The sequence below is a fragment of the Homo sapiens genome, chromosome 8, assembly GCF_000001405.40.
Source record: "Homo sapiens chromosome 8, GRCh38.p14 Primary Assembly".
Lineage (NCBI taxonomy): Eukaryota > Metazoa > Chordata > Mammalia > Primates > Hominidae > Homo > Homo sapiens.
In genome coordinates this window covers 128610750-128628073 of record NC_000008.11, presented here as the reverse complement: position 1 = coordinate 128628073, position 17324 = coordinate 128610750, and the positions used below count along the sequence as shown (strand labels likewise).

Here is a 17324-nt window from a genome sequence, read left to right as displayed (position 1 = left end):
ATATTTATTAGTTTGGCATTTAAAACTTTCTCTAGACTTAGATTTATTTGTTTTGAGATGAAGTCTCACTCTGTAGCTCAAGCTGGAGTGCAGTGGTACAGTCTCGGCTCACTGCAACTTCTGCCTCTGGGGCTCAAGCGATTCTTGTGCCTCAGTCTCCCAAGTAGCTGGGACTACAGGTACACGCCACCATGCCCAGCTAATTTTTGTATTTTCGCAGAGATGGGGTTTCACCATGTTGCCCAGGGTGGTCTCGAACTCCTGAGCTGAGTTGTGTTTTTTTTTTTGAAACGCAGTCTTGCTCTGTCACCCAGGCTGGAGTGCAGTGGGCCAATCTAGGCTCACTGCAACCTCTGCCTCCTGGGTTCAAGCGATTCTCCTGCTTCAGTCTCCCGAGCAGCTGGGACTAAGGGCGTGTGCCACCACGCTCGGTTAATTTTTTTTATTTTTAGTAGAGGTGGGGTTTCACCGTGTTAACCAGGATGGTCTCAATCTCCTGACCTCGTGATCCACCCGCCTTGGCCTCCCAAATTGCTGGGATTGCAGGCGTGAGCCACCGGGCCTAGCCTGAGTTTTAATACAGGCCCTTTGATTTCAAAGCCCATGCTTATTCTCTGGTGCCACCCAGCACCTCCAAGATAACTTCTGGTGAGGACTTTGCTGTCACTGAAACTGGTAAATTCTGATGTTTGCTTACAAATTAGCAGTGCTCCTTTGTGCTTAAACTTTAACAGTTTGAATGAGATAGTTGCCACCTCACTTTGGATCTCTTTCCCATAGTCCCAAAGCACTTTGAAGGGCCTATGTAAGAAGAGACAACTGAACAGATATTTACTAAAGCCCAACTCTGACTTTAATTAGACCTATAATTTTGGCAAGACACACAAAACTTTTCTTTCAAGGTTTTTCATTTAGTAAAATATTTTAAAGGAGATCAGTTTTGAATATTTAAGTAAGAAGCTCATGTGGGGATATTAGAAAGATCTGGGTTTGAACCTTCACTCTGCCACTTTCTACATGCATAATCTTTATTATTAGTTAACTGCTTTGACACTCAGATTTCTTATTTTTAAAATGGGGAAAATGAAAATCATACGTTTTCAAAGCTTTCATATGAAGATGAAATATGACCACATCTGTAATGTTCCTACTGCAGTACCTACTACAGATCTTTAGAAGTAGAAGGTAAATTTACTTTTCACATGCACAGAGCTTCATATGAAAGAAAAATTGTCCTTATACTTTCTGACCTCGGTTATGGAGCAAATACCAAGTGATTGGGCTGCTTTGGAGAATTTCCCAGGAGGTTTGGGGCAGAGGTGGGAAACCCCCTCTGTTGCATGTCTAAGTACAAGATTTCAATTCAGAGACAGTCTGCAGGGCTTTTGCCTAATACATTATTTCCATTACTTCCCCTGCACCCATCTTTACTTTCTCCATCCATCCTACCAACCATGTCGGAACCCTCTGCCAGAATTCTCTGCTCCAACTTCACAGCCAGGCTGAGCTAGGCTGATTCACAAAGGCTGTTCCCAAGTTGAAGACTGGCCAGGATCAGCAGTGAAAGTTGATTGGTTTGGCATGGGCAGTGATTAATGATTAATCAGAATCAGTGTTAGCTGAACACCACAACTATGGCCATGCCATTCTGAACAGGCAACAAATCAGTGATAGCTGGAATAGAGATGCATATTTTGAAATTTTACCTTTATTTTAGTTTAATACCGAACTAGCAAATAACCAGCGAGAGGAATACACAGGAAATCAAAGATACCAGTGGGTGAAAACGCAGCTGCCAATGCCACCCGGGCTCCTCAGAGGTGTGACTTGAGTCCATAATAGAGCATAATAGTCAATGCTGAGTCAGTGTGTCTCAGAACCTTCCACTCTTTATCTTTGGGTGCAAGCAGCCCCAACTCTCAAGGATCCATACTGTTTGCAAAATAGGAAAATTTGACCTGCCCAAGGGTTATATACTTCTGAGTATATTTCTTGCATCACTAGGAGTACTTAGCTTCCTGGTGACCTGACCAGGGCCTTCTACAGGGCCAGCCTAGCTGACTTGGCTTGTCCCCACTATGCTGGGTACTGTCTAGTGGCCTCCACAGACAGGTAGCTTGAGTTCAAGATTCCAATTCAACCACTTAAAGCTGAATGTACATGAGTAATTTAAGTTCTAGAAATAGACTCTATGGAAAAACAAACAAACAAACAAACAAACAAAAAAGCTGTTCATCAAATTAACCTTGACTTTCTACCTTTAACTTTTTAGTTGGAAAACTCTTTTGGAAAAAAAATGAAAAATCTTAACTTTGTCTGTCAGGTATACACAATATAGGCCTTCCTGGGCCCTCCTGCTGGATTTCCACTTATGCAGTGTCTCTGCCTGCATAAGCCTTTCATGGTTCCTTAATTACCCCTCTGTTCAGAATGTTATTCTTTTATTCTTCCCTTATTAACTCCAGGTTACTTTCAGATATCAGGCTTAGAGTTCTCCAGTGTATCTTTCCTTGAGCCCTTCAGTTTAGGCTATATTTCATTTGTTTGGTTTTGTTTATACTTTCAATGTCTTTTATACTGCTAAGCAAAACCATAATATATTAATTGGATGGATGAAAATGACATTACACTATATCAATTATTGTTTCTACTGCAGAAGAAGTTATCTAGGGAAAATGTAGCTTCTATTCTATCATGATTACCATAATTTGCCCCAAGAAAAAGACAAGATATAAAAATAAAGAGTTACTGGGTTGTCATGAATTTTCTTTTTAAATACTATCTTTTAACATTTTCTGATATATTTTTTAAAAGCCTAGGGAAACTGAAAACCTAATAGTAAAGTATAGTAATTATTTTAAATATTGATTTTCTGCAGTACTTACAGTCTATATGACTAATTTGGCATGGGTAAATTGTCTTGTATTTTCCCTGCATGTATTTCTTTCTTTTTAACAGCTTCATTGAGATATAATGTACATACTATAAAATTCAGCCATATAAAATCTGCAACTAATGGTTTGTTTTTAGTATGTTTACAGAGTTGTACAATCATCATATGGTAATTTTTAAATATAATCATCACTCCAAAAAGAAACTGCATAGGCTAAATTTTAAATACATTTTTGGACAATTACGTATCTTTCTTACAGAGCACTGATCTCCTTTGTTAATACACATTTATTAATGTTTTGTTCAGTTAATACCTATTTCTTACTTTAAAGCATAAGCATGGGAACAGAGTCTGTATCTATTTTGGGGCCACCTTTCTGTCACTAGTGCCTAGCAGGCTACTTGTCATACAGTAGAAGATTTATTCCTTTGTTAAGGAATTTGACTCACAAGCCTCAATGTTATCATCTGTAAAGGAAGATGAAAATATTAATACATATCACACAGGATGTTTTGAGAGTCAAAAAATATAATTCGTGCAAGATCACCTTTAAACTGAAATACATATACATCTTAAATATTATTTAATAAATATTTTCAACTCAGGGAAAAATCTAGATTACAGAGACATGAAATTGGGAATATGACAGCAAGTGACTAGATGCTCTCAATTTCTCTTCCTTTTCCCAAGAACAGAGGAAGAATAAATTTCCTAGAGTTCTTTATGATTCCTATGGGCCATAAAATATACCCTCATGACTACTTCTGGACAACGGGATGGGAGCAGGAGTGATATGCACCATTTGAAAGACCAGACCTTAAAATCATCTTGAGGTTCTCATGACAAAAAAAAGAGTACAGAGTTGTAGTGACACTATGGAAGAATCATGGATGTGTTTCTTCAAGGAAAACTTCTTAGGAAAGCAATCAAATCTGCAACAAACTATGACACGAGGAAGAATTCCACTATTTTGTTTACTAAGTCACTGAGATTACCAGGTGGTTGGTTATATAACCTTATACAGAAATTGATACTTTGAAGAGGGGACTACCATAACACAAAGATAAAGACATGGCATTGGTTAAGCATTCAGAGATGAGCATCATGGAAGCTGACACAGGCTCTAAGCATAGGTCTCCAGATTATGCAGTTGCAAGACACTTCATTTGAATCCCTTCTGTAGTTGTTCTCAATACAGAGAGCACGCTTAGTCAACCAATAGCTCCAGCAGAAAAGCTTGGAAAGCAGAATCTTGGTAGGATATGTTGGCTACCAATGGGTGGTCTGGTAAGATATTTTAAGTTATGACCTCAAGGAATAATTAGATACTTTGCAGGCAGAAATGAAAAAGAATAAAGAAAGTTGAGAAATTCAAGGCCTTTTAGGGGTGTAAAAAGTGAGAAGATTCTAGATTCTAGACCTTCAAAAGTAAGATATGAGATGTTTAATGACTTTGAAATACTAAGTCTAGGAAAAACTCTTCAGTTGGATGAAGTGACTAGAGCAATGACAAATTCAGACTCAATCAATCCCATTCAATCCCTCTAACCTCAAGGTAGCTTTAGTTAAGACAGAGAGGCAGGGTTCTGAAAAAGCAAAGAAATAAAGCAGGTCAGAGAACTGTGTCTAGGAAAGGTTCTAGGGTGTGGTTACTGGACATGAAACTGACTGGAATGTACAGAGATTAGAAGCTATGAAGGTGTTGAAAGAATTACATTGACAAAGAAGTCACAAATTAATTCAAAACGTCTTTGGCTTTTTGAGACTTGAGGTAACCTTTAGGATCCTGACCTATCACAAGCAGGCAGAAAGTCTCAAAACCCCTAACAATGGTATGCTTTCCAGCATTCACTTTAGAGTCCCCAAAGAAACTGAACAAAGAGAAGACCCTCAAGAGTAGAGCCACAGGCCATAAACTATAAAAGACAAGGGATTTCCTCCAACAGAGAGCAAAATCAGAGCCTGAAAGGCACTATTTTTACCCACCCAAACTAGGGGGACTTCATAAAATTGGCCCCATGGAATTTCAGAGCAATTATGACCAGTGCTGTAGCTCAGGTCCCTCAGGAAACAGATTCAGAGACCCTGAGATATGTGTGCCACAGGTTATTTGGGAAATGTCATTGAAAACAACACCTCTAAGGAGTAAGAAAAATAAGATTAGGCAAAGGGAAACATTGAACTAGTGAAGTAATTGCAACAAAGAACTCAGCCAATCCCACCAGAGATCAGAGGCTAGGAGATCCCTTCAAGTTGTCCCCATTGAGACAAAGAGTTGATGTCTCATACTCTGCACTAGTCATTGGATGCAAGCTTCCACAAGGCAGGTCATACTCTTGGTCAAGGCAGTGATTTTTGGATAGCAGTTCCTGGAGTGGGGCTCAACTGTGAGCCATCAGCAGCTAGGAGGCTAAGGGCCTTGGTCATAAAGGAAGATCTGGGGAGGGCACCACAGCATCCACTATAAATATAGATTTATGTGTCTTGTATTTTTTCCCTTCATAAATGAGAGTACACATTGCAATTATCCCATCCCTATTCTGCTATTGTATATTTGACGGTGGTAACCAAGGAGGGAAATTGGGGATGGATACCGATCTTCATGAACTATCAAACCATAAAAATAAAATTGGCCCAACTTTTCAATAAGCCAGAAGCCCATAGAACTGAAGCTTGAGAAACTTACATTTGTACAATGAGATGCACCTGCTGCCTGTTGACCAACTCCTCTTCCTTACCCTTCCCTAATTCTCAGTTTCCCACACGTGGTTATAATGAGATGCTAGACCTCTATTCAATCACCTGCTGCCTGTTGACCAGCTCCTTTTCTTTGCCCCTCCTGTTTTCCTTTGCAGTTGTATAAATTATTAACTTCACTTGGGGGGAGACATGGATTTGAGATTTGTCTCCAGTCTCTTTGGTTGACATCACCTGTAATAAAGCCTACTTCCCTAGCAATACACATTGTCTCAGTAATTGTCTTTCTGTGTGGAAAGCAATAGGACCTAGACTGAACCCCTGGCATTCAGTAACAAGGGCACACATGTGGATCTAGTGTAGAGGCCTGAACATTATCTGGAGAGCTGGTGTTTTGAAAGGACATCAAATTGTTCTCCATGGGGAGGATGAGGACATATTTCATGTTTAGAAGAAAGAATAAAATTGATCCATGATGATCAGACAGGATAAATCAGAGACTAACTTGATGCTCACCAATACAATTTCTCTTTCAATTGAACACAGGAGAACCTTATTTCCACCTTCCCTTGCACTTAGCTTGTATCTAGTTATAGCCAATAGAATGTGGAGATAAGAGAAGGAAGCTACTTCTAGGCAGCGGTCCTGAAAATCTTCAACAAGTATCTCAGTCTATACTCTCATCCCATCCATGAAGTTGGAAGTAAAAGACCCCCAAGTTGGTAGAGCTGTTTTATAGACCATAATATGATTGAGCCAAACTATAGAAGGAACTGAATTCCTAAATTATTTTTCAAAGAAGAGCCACCTAACCCACAGTGGATTGTACCTGAGAAAGAAACTTTTGTGGTATTAAATCACTGAGATTAGGGATTGTTTGTTAGCCGTGAGTAGGAATGGCAAACCTGAATTATGCAAAAAACACAGTTTTATATATGTTCCTGAAGTCAGAAGAGTAGATAAGATTACCCATAAGAGTCACAGGAAGACACAACTTTTCCAAATTTCAAGGAAAATATTCAATTGCATGTGAGAACAACACAATGCCTGAAGATGCTTCTTATATGCGAGTAGGTGATAAAGAAACGTAAGTTTTAGCATTTTCTTAGGCCTTAAATATCAACATAACAGTTAAGATCTTGAACCTGCAGGATAGTTTTCCAAATGTGGAAAGCCAGTGTTCTGTAGGCTCCTTAGGGCCTTTAATATGCTCATACACATTGTTACCCCAGCCTACCACTCCCGATCCTACCACCAGCCGGTACCCACTGCTCCCACTCCCACAGGCCTCCAAGCCCCCAGGAAATCAACTGAAGGCAAGGAATATATGCTTTTCCAAGCCTATAGAGATGGCTCTTTACATTCATGTGTTCCATATCCACACATTCAACCAACAGGGAATAGAAAATATTTGGGAAAAAAGATTGTGTCTGTACTGAACATGTGTCAATTTGTTCTTCTTGTCATTATTCCCTAAAATACAGTGTAACAACTATTTTCATAGCATTTACATTGTATTAGGTACCATAAATAGAGATAAAGTATACAGGATGATATACATTGGTTATATGTAAATACTACACTGTATTATATTAGAAACTTGAACATCTGTAGATGTTTATATCTAAGGTAGGTCCTGGAACTAATTCCCCACAGATACAGAGGGACAATGGTACAGTATACATTTCCAAAATCTCCTCTATACCAGCATTTAAAAAAAAAAAAGGAACAGCATGGAAAGCATTTTTATAGGCCATAAACTTGTTTTGATTGTTTCCATCACCAGAGAAGGAAGATAAAGCCAAATGGGTAAGGGAAGTGTTAAAAAGATAAAAAGCCTGGTATGCATTCTGCCTTCTTCTTTCAGTACTGAACCTCATTAGTGGTGGAGAGCATTGAGGCATCTCTAAGGGGAACGCGATGCTTTCTCCCTGAGCTGCAGCAATCTCAGTTACAGATGCTGATCAAGAGTAGCAAATGAAAGGTCCCCAGTCTCCATCACGTAAGTGGCAGTATCGTCGAGACAGTAGTGTAGTAAGTATTGCACAGCTAGATGTCATGCATCACCATACATATGCTGGAATTTTATACGTTTTAAGATCAAAACAGGTGTTTAAAATGATAGCTTTTGCTCCAAGGCCTAGAAACAGGAGAAAGGCACTGTTTCTCTGCTTTCAAGAAACAATTGCTCAGAAGGGAAAAAAAGCTGTTTAAAACTTCATGCCATAATTCTACAATAGATTATTAGTGCCACAGAGAGCATAGTACAAATTTATTTTCAACCACTGGGAATAATAATAAAAAAAAAGACATGTCTTAAAAGAAGGTATTTTTAGCATAATAAGTGATTGCATGGTTATATATAGATTTTGTTTCACTTTCTTCCAACTGTGAATGTGATTGTTTTCATATGCTTGGGAAATTTGCATATAATGTGTGCTATTTGTATCATGGCCAAATCACTTGGATTCAAGCTCAAACTGCTCACTGAAACAGGATGGAAGCCCACTGAGATAAATATAGTCATCTTTCATTTCCTAAGGCTCAAATCCAGGAAAATATCTTCCCCTCTTCCTAAATTTGCCTGTCTGTCAAATTTGTGAATAATTATCAAATTCTCACTGCTAGGAAAACGAGCAATTGGATAAAGCATCAATAATTGTGGTCTATAGCTTGGGAGCGAAGAGAAGAAAAAAATAGCAAATGAAAATGCGTTTGATTTCTTACTATGTTACAGGTTGAATTCATTTAAAAAAAAACCTTACTTGTGAAACTTTTCAGCAGTAGAAAAAGCCTTCATATGTTTTTTATTAATTGAAATCTTATTTGCATACCATAAAATTTACCATTTTAATTACACAAAATCTAATTGCTTTTAGTATATTCACAAAGTTGTGGAATCATCTCTATTGTCTAACTATACAACATTTTTAATCACCCTAAAAAGTAGGCTTGCACCCATTAACAATCACTTCTCATTTGTCTCTCCAGCCCCTTGAAACCCCTAATCTACATACTGTATATATGGATTTGTCTTTCTAAATACTTTATAGAAATGGTGTCATATGATCTGTGTGTGTTCTTTTATGTCTGGCTTCTTTCAGTAGCCTCACTTTACGGATAAGGTAGATAGGCCCATGGTACGGAAACAAATTGTTCAAGTTACATAAATTTTTCTAGGCACATCCAGAGCTAGAATCTGCTCTTATGAGATCTGCATTTAGCAGAATACTGGCTGAGCACTTGCTGGGAGCTCTGTTCTCAAGGGGGCTTTCAATCTCATTGGAAATGACACCGAATAAAGAAAATTGTGTTTATTATTAAGTCTCCTTTGAGAAAGCTATGCAAGATTGGAAAAAGACTTTGGTAAGCTACATGGAATGTGAGAGGAAATATGAGCTCACTATATAACATGACCAAGTCACAAGAGATAGTACCTAAATTGCCTTATAATGAGTATGGATTTGGTAAAGAATATGGCATTTGTGTTGCTGAGTGGGTATATGAGATCGGGGCTGAGTCTCCCAAAATAAACTTTGAACACATATATAACAAATATATTTGTGAAGGAATGCTAAGGAATTAGCTTGTCCAAGCCTTCTGCATTTCCACTCAGCTCTCACATATAGGCCCCTGGCTCCAACACCAAGGCCTCCTCCGTTGAAATTTTTACAATACTGACTTGATTTTGGTAAAACCCATTCTGCCTGAAATATTCCCTCTTGAACTCAAACCCCGTAGCAACATCACCATCTTCCTTCATGAAATCAGCCTATTTCTATCATTGTAGACCTGTAAACTTTCTTACTTCTCTCAATTATATTTCTCTATCTCAGATAACTCACCATATCTTTTTTTATTGTAACCCATACTGGATTTCAAGTGAACCAACACAAGTAACTTGTCTTCCTAAAGTCCTAATGAGCTAACTATATCTTCTGTCCCCAGTTCTGTACCCACCCAGGGCCCAGGTTACCAACTTAGACTTCTGTGGGGCTACTCTGGTGTGGAGTCCACTTTCTACCCATGATGACTTTCCGTTTATTAGATCATGCAAAAGTAATTGCAGTTTTTGCCATTACTTTTAATGCAAGATTGGAAAAAGACTCTGCTTGGCTACATGGAATATAAGAGAAAATATGAGGAATTTGATAATTCCTTCAGGAACTCCAGGACTCCAGTCTGCCTCCTCTCATCCAAAGACTAGAGGCCTTGTGACTGAAATTCTTCTGCACCCCATAGACAAGCCAAGGTATTGCCTAATAGCAGATCATTAGTTGGGGATTATTCTCCAAATTTCCAAATTTTAAACTTACTTGCTAGAAGAGCATTAAAATGGCAGTATAGTGCAATGTGTTGAAGGTAAATGGCCAGGATTTGTAACTCAGGCTTGACTACTTCTTAGTAGCCATATGACTTTAACCAAGAATCTTAACTTCTCTCGGCCTCAGTTTCTTCATTTTTAAAATAAGGGTAATAGTACTTCCTACATTATGAAATCATTCTGAAGACTAAATAACCTTCTATAATATGTGAAACACTTAGATAAATACTTGTAATATAGAAATTGTATAAAGTTAATAACTATTATTTTCTCTACACACAAGTAGCTGCTATGCAAGATTTATATGGAAATGTTCAAGTTTTTTGCTTGTTTTTCATAACACTTTAAAATATCAACCAGGAGAAAAAGTGCTAGACTGGGAAATAGGAGGTCTAGAATCTAGTTCTGATTCTATCACTAAGCAATATTTTAATATGCACACTGAATTTTTTTAGGATGGCTGAATATTTTCCCACACTTATGCCTATGTGTATGTATTTGTGAATGCTATCTTTATAGAAAGTGAAGATGTCAGGCCTCTGAGCCCAAGCCAAGCCATCCCATCCCCTGTGACTTGCACGTAAACGCCCAGATGGCCTGAAGTAACTGAATAATCACAAAAGAAGTGAATATGCCCTGCCCCACCTTAACTGATTACATTCCATCAGAAAGGAAGTGTAAATGGCCGGTCCTTGCCTTAAGTGATGACATTACCTTGTGAAAGTCCTTTTCCTGGCTCATCCTGGCTCAAAAAGCACCCCCACTAAGCACCTTGCGACCCCCACTCCTGCCCGCCAGAGAACAAACCCCCTTTGACTGTAATTTTCCTTTACCTACCCAAATCCTATAAAACGGCCCCACCCCTATTTCCCTTCACTGACTCTCTTTTCGGACTCAGCCCGCCTGCACCCAGGTGAAATAAACAACCATGTTGCTCATACAGAGCCTGTTTGGTGGTCTCTTCACATGGACGCGTATGAAATTTGGTGCCGTGGCTCGGATCGGAGGACATCCCTTGGGAGATCAATCCCCCTTCCTCCTGCTCTTTGCTCCCTGAGAAGGATCCACCTACGACCTCAGGTCCTCAGATCGACCAGCCCAAGAAACATCTCACCGATTTCAAATCCGGTAAGCGGCCTCTTTTTACTCTCTTCTCCAACTTCCCTCACTATTCCCTCAACATCTTTCTCCTTTCAATCTTGGCGCTACACTTCAATCTCTCCTTTCTCTTAATTTCAATTCCTTTCATTTTCTGGTAGAGACAAAAGAGACACGTTTTATCCATGGACCCAAAACTCCGGCACCGGTCACGGACTGGGAAGGCAGCCTTCCCTTGGTGTTTAATCCTTGCAGGGACACCTCTCTGATTATACACCCACGTTTCAAGGGTGTCAGACCATGCAGGGACGCCTGCCTTGGTCCTTCACCCTTAGCGGCAAGTCTCGCTTTTCTGGGGAAGGGGCAAGTACCTCAACCCCTTCTCTCCTTGTCTCTACCCCTTCCCCGCTTTTCTGGGAGAGGGGCAAGTACCCCTCAACCCCTTCTCCTTCACCCTTAGCGGCAAGTCCTGCTTTCCTAGGCGGCAAGAACCCCCCAATCGCTTATTTCTGCACCCCAACCTCTTATCTCTGTGCCCCAATCCCTTATTTCTGCACCCTGATCTCTTATCTCTGTGCCTCAATCCCTTATTTCTGTCTCCCAACCCCTTCTCTGCTTTTCTGGAGGGCAAGAACCCCCCACCCCTTCTCCGTGTCTCTACTCTTTTCTTTGGGCTTGCCTCCTTCACTATGGGTAAGCTTCCACCTTCCATTCCTCCTTCTCCCTTAGCCTGTGTTCTCAAAAACTTAAAACCTCTTCAACTCACACCTGACCTAAAACCTAAATGCCTTATTTTCTTCTGCAATGCCATTTGACCCCAATACAAACTCAACAGTAGTTCCAAATAGCCGGAAAATGGCACTTTCAATTTTTCCATCCTACAAGATCTAAATAATTCTTGTCATAAAATGGGCAAATGGTCTGAGGTGCCTGACGTCCAGGCATTCTTTTATACATCAGTCCCTTCCTAGTCTCTGTGCCCAGTGCAACTCGTCCCAAATCTTCCTTCTTTCCCTCCTGCCTGTCCTCTGAGTCCCAACCCCAAGAGTCACTGAGTCTTTCTAATCTTCCTTTTCTACAGACCCATCTGACCTCTCCCCTCCTTGCCAGCCCAAGCTAGGTCCCAATTCTTCCTCAGCCTCTGCTCCTCCACCCTGTAATCTTTTTATCGCCTCCCCTCCTCACACCTGGTCTGGCTTACAGTTTCGTTCTGTGACTAGCCCTCCCCCACCTACCCAGCAATTTACTCTTAAAAAGGTGGCTGGAGCCCGAGGCATAGTCAAGGTTAATGCTCCTTTTTCTTTATCCCAAATCAGATAGCGTTTAGGCTCTTTTTCATCAAATATAAAAACCCAGCCCAGTTCATGGCTCGTTTGGCAGCAATACTGAGACGCTTTACAGCCCTAGACCCTAAAATGTCAAAAGGCCATCTTATTCTCAATATACATTTTATTACCCAATCTGCTCCCGACATTAAATAAAACTCCAAAAATTGGAATCTGGCCCTCAAACCTCACAACAGGACTTAACTAACCTCACCTTCAAGGTGTACAATAATAAAAAAAAGTTGCAATTCCTTGCCTCCACTGTGAGACAAACCCCAGCCACATCTCCAGCACACAAGAACTTCCAAACGCGTGAACTGCAGCGGCCAGGCATTCCTCCAGAACCTCCTCCCCTAGAAGCTTGCTACAAGTACCAGAAATCTGGCCACCAGGCCAAGGAATGCCTGCAGCCCAGGATTCCTCCTAAGCCGTGTCCCATCTGTGCGGGACCCCACTGAAAATCGGACTGTTCAACTTACCTGGCAGCCACTCCCAGAGCCCCTGGAACTCTGGCCCAAGGATCTCTGATTGACTCCTTCTTGGCTTACCGGCTGAAGACTGACGCTGCCTGATCGCCTCGGAAGCCCCGTAGACCATCACGGACGCCGAGCTTTAGGTAACTCTCATGGTGGAGGGTAAGTCCATCCCCTTCTTAATCAATACGGAGGCTACCCACTCCACATTACCTTCTTTTCAAGGGCCTGTTTCCCTTGCCTCCATAACTGCTATGGGTATTGACGGCCAGGCTTCTAAACCTCTTAAAACTCCCCAACTCTAGTGCCAACTTAGACAACACTCTTTTATGCACTCTTTTTTAGTTATCTCCACCTGCCCAGTTCCCTTATTAGGCTGAGATATTTTAACCAAATTATCTGCTTCCCTGACTATTCCTAGACTATAGCCACGTCTCATTGATGCCCTTCTTCCCAATCCAAAGCCTCCTTTGCGTCCTCCTCTTGTATTCCCCCACCTTAACCCACAAGTATAAGATACCTCTACTCCCTCCTTGGCGACCAATCACACACCCCTTACCATCTCATTAAAACCTAATCACCCTTACCCAGCTCAACGCCAATATCCCATCCCACAGCAAGCTTTGAAAGGATTAATGCCTGCTATCACTCGCCTGCTACAGCATGGCCTTTTAAAGCCTATAAACTCTCCTTACCATTCCCCCATTTTACCTGTCCTAAAACCAGACAAGCCTTACAAGTTAGTTCAGGATCTGCGCCTTATCAACCAAATTGTTTTGCCTATCCACCCCATGGTGCCAAACCCATATACTCTTCTATCCTCAATACCTGCCTCTACAACCCATTATTCTGTTCTAGATCTCAAACAAGCTTTCTTTACTATTCCTTTGCACCCTTCATCCCAGCCTCTCTTCGCATTCACTTGGACTGACCCTGACACCCATCAAGCTCAGCAAATTACCTAGGCTGTACTGCCGCAAAGCTTCACAGACAGCCCCCATTCCTTCAATCAAGCCCAAATTTCTTCCTCATCTGTTACCTATCTCGGCATAATTCTCATAAAAACACACGTGCTCTCCCTGCCAAGCCTGTCTGACTGATCTCTCAAACCCCAGCACCTTCTACAAAACAACAACTCCTTTCCTTCCTAGGCATGGTTAGCGCGGTCAGAATTCTTACACAAGAGCCAGGACCACACCCTGTAGCCTTTCTGTCCAAACAACTTGACCTTACTGTTTTAGCCTAGCCCTCATGTCTGCGTGCAGCGGCTACCGCTGCTTTAATACTTTTAGAGGCCCTCAAAATCAGAAACTATGTTCAACTCACTCTGTACGGTTCTCATAACTTCCAAAATCTATTTTCTTCCTCATAGCTGACCCATATACTTTTTGCTTCCCGGCTCCTTCAGCTGTACTCACTCTTTGTTGAGTCTCCCACAATTACCGTTGTTCCCGGGCCAGACTTCAATCCGGCCTCCCATATTATTCCTGATACCACACCTGACCCCCATAACTGTATCTTTCTGATCCACCTGACATTCACCCCATTTCCCCAAATTTCCTTCTTTCCTGTTCCTCACCCTGATCACGCTTGATTTATTGATGGCGGTTCCACCAGGCCTAATCGCCACACACCAGCAAAGGCAGGCTATGCTATAGTACAAGCCACTATCCTGCCTCTTAGAACTTCTCATTTCCTTTCCATCGTGGAAATCTATCCTCAAGGAAATAACTTCTCAGTGTTCCATCTGCTATTCTACTACTCCTCAGGGATTATTCAGGCCCCCTCCCTTCCCTACACATCAAGCTTGAGGATTTGCCCCACCCAGGACTGGCAAATTAGCTTTACTCAACATGCCCTGAGTCAGATAACTAAAATACCTCTTAGTCTAGGTAGATACTTTCACTGGATAGGTAGAGGCCTTTCCTACAGGGTCTGAGAAGGCCACCACAGTCATTTCTTCCCTTCTGTCAGACATAATTCCTCAGTTTAGCCTTCCCACCTCAATACAGTGTGATAACAGATGAGCCTTTATTAGTCAAATCAGCCAAGCAGTTTTTCAGGCTCTCACTCTTCAGTGAAACCTTTATAGCCCTTACGGTCCTCCGTCTTCAAGAAAAGTAGAATGGACTAAAGGTCTTAAAATACACCTCACCAAGCTCAGCCACCAACTTAAAAAGGACTGGACAATACTTTTACCACTTCCCCTTCTCAGAATTCAGGCCTGTCCTCAGAATGCTACAGGGTACAGCCCATTTAAGCTCCTGTATAGACGCTCCTTTTTATTAGGCCCCAGTCTCATTCCAGACACCAGACCAACTTAGACTGTGCTCCAAAAAACTTGTCATCCCTACTATCTTCTGTCTAGTCATACTCCTATTCACCATTCCTAACTCCTCATACATGCCCTGCTCTTGTTTACACTGCCGGTTTACACTGTTTTTCCAAGCCATCACAGCTGATATCTCCTGGTGCTATCCCCAAACTGCCACTCTTAACTCTTGAAGTAAATAAATAATCTTTGCTGGTAGGACTATGCTGAATCTCCTTAGGCACTCTCTAATCAGATATCCTGAGTCGTCCCAATTCTTAGACCTTTTACACCTGTTTTTCTCCTTCTGTTATTCCATTTAGTTTTTCAATTCATACAAAACTATATCCAGGCCATCACCAATCATTCTATACGACAAATATTTCTTCTAACATCCCCACAATATCACCCCTTACCACAAGACCTCCCTTCAGCTTAATGTCTCCCACTCTAGGTTCCCACGCCGCCCCTAATCCCACTTGAAGCAGGCCTGAGAAACATGGCCCATTCTCTCTCCATACCACCCCCCAAAAATTTTCGCCGCCCCAACACTTCAACACTATTTTGTTTTATTTTTCTTATTAATATAAGAAGTCAGGAATGTCAGGCCTCTGAGCCCAAACCAAGCCATCCCATCCCCTGTGACTTGCACGTAAACGCCCAGATGGCCTGAAGTAACTGAATAATCACAAAAGAAGTGAATATGCCCTGTCCCACCTTAACTGATGACATTCCACCACAAAAGAAGTGTAAATGGCCGGTCCTTGCCTTAAGTGATGACATTACCTTGTGAAAGTCCTTTTCCTGGCTCATCCTGGCCCAGAAAACACCCCCACTAAGCACCTTGCGACCCCCACTCCTGCCCGCCAGAGAACAAACCCCCTTTGACCGTAATTTTCCTTTACCTACCCAAATCCTATAAAATGGCCCCATCCCTATTTCCCTTCACTGACTCTCTTTTCGGACTCAGCCCTCCTGCACCCAGGTGAAATAAATAGCCATGTTGCTCACACAAAGCCTGTTTGGTGGTCTCTTCACACGGATGCGCATGAAAGAAGATATAAAAATCTAAGTGATCACAGAAGCCAAATTAGTGGCTTCCTAATAAATGAGAGGTCCATAAATGATTCTTCTCCCTCAGGTTGATTAATTCTGTGTGTTGATTAGCTCAGCAACACACATTCATCTTTCTGAGTTGTCTTTGCTCTTAAAGAAAAATTTCATCCAGCACATCCCTAAATGATAAGGAGAAATGATTGCTTATACAAATCAGGATATCAGAAAAGCTGGCCAGATGGGGGCTGTGTCAACTCCCTCCCCACTCCAATTGTGCTACTAAATCTTTTTAAGTGTCTCTGTCTAAAATCTTCTCTCTTAAGTACCACTCCCTCCTAATAAGGTCATTTTATCCCAAACAGCCTTCTAAGTAGTATGACCAGCCATCCAGAAAAGGTGTGAACATTCTTGCAGTCTATCTAGAAAGTGCAGTGCAGTACACAACCCAGACTCTCTTCCTTTATGTCCCATACACCCTCTGGTTACCTTAATTTTAATTATTAACTTAGTGTGTCTCCCTTTTCTTATGCCCAGACTGGGTGTTCTCAAAGAAGACTGGGTTTTGTGCCCTTTAGATTGTCAGCACACAATATTTAATCAGTGCATTAAAAATGTTTGGCTTCTGTGAGTACATATAGTGAGTGAAGTCAAATGTCTCTTTATCCAAGGTATGCATTGGTCCTTTTTCACGTATAATCCCTCTGCCTGGAATGGCTCCCCATTTAATGAGTCATCCTTTATAATCCAACTAAGACATCACCTCATTTCATGAGTTATCCTCAAGTCCCTTAGATTTTCCATTCTCTGAATCACAATAGTATATTTTCTTACAGATTGTCAAAGATTTCTCTTATGGCTATTCCCATAGTCTTTGAAATAATTACATTGATTTTTAAATTTACTTTAATTTATTTACTTATAAGCCTGGTTTTTTCATGGGATATGCACTCCTCAAAGACGATAAAGGTACCTCCTTAATCAGTATTCCTACAACTTAGCACAGTGCCTGGCACATTAACAGGTACTCAGTAATATCTGTTGATTGCAACTATATTGAACTGATTTGAATTGCATTCAGTTCAAATTTATAGAGAAAATTCATCACGGTAAAGGCTTTGTGGTATAATTGATATGGCCAAATGAAATG

The 17324-nt window shown here is 41.1% G+C and overlaps 1 annotated feature.

Annotated features, from left to right (window-relative positions):
- Positions 15180–16000: an enhancer, noted in NCBI's record as "OCT4-NANOG-H3K27ac hESC enhancer chr8:129624320-129625140 (GRCh37/hg19 assembly coordinates)". NCBI's record gives its function as "activates a minimal SCP1, AML or CMV promoter by ChIP-STARR-seq in naive H9 embryonic stem cells {active_cell/tissue: H9 hESC(naive)}" and the evidence as "EXISTENCE:reporter gene assay evidence [ECO:0000049][PMID:30033119]".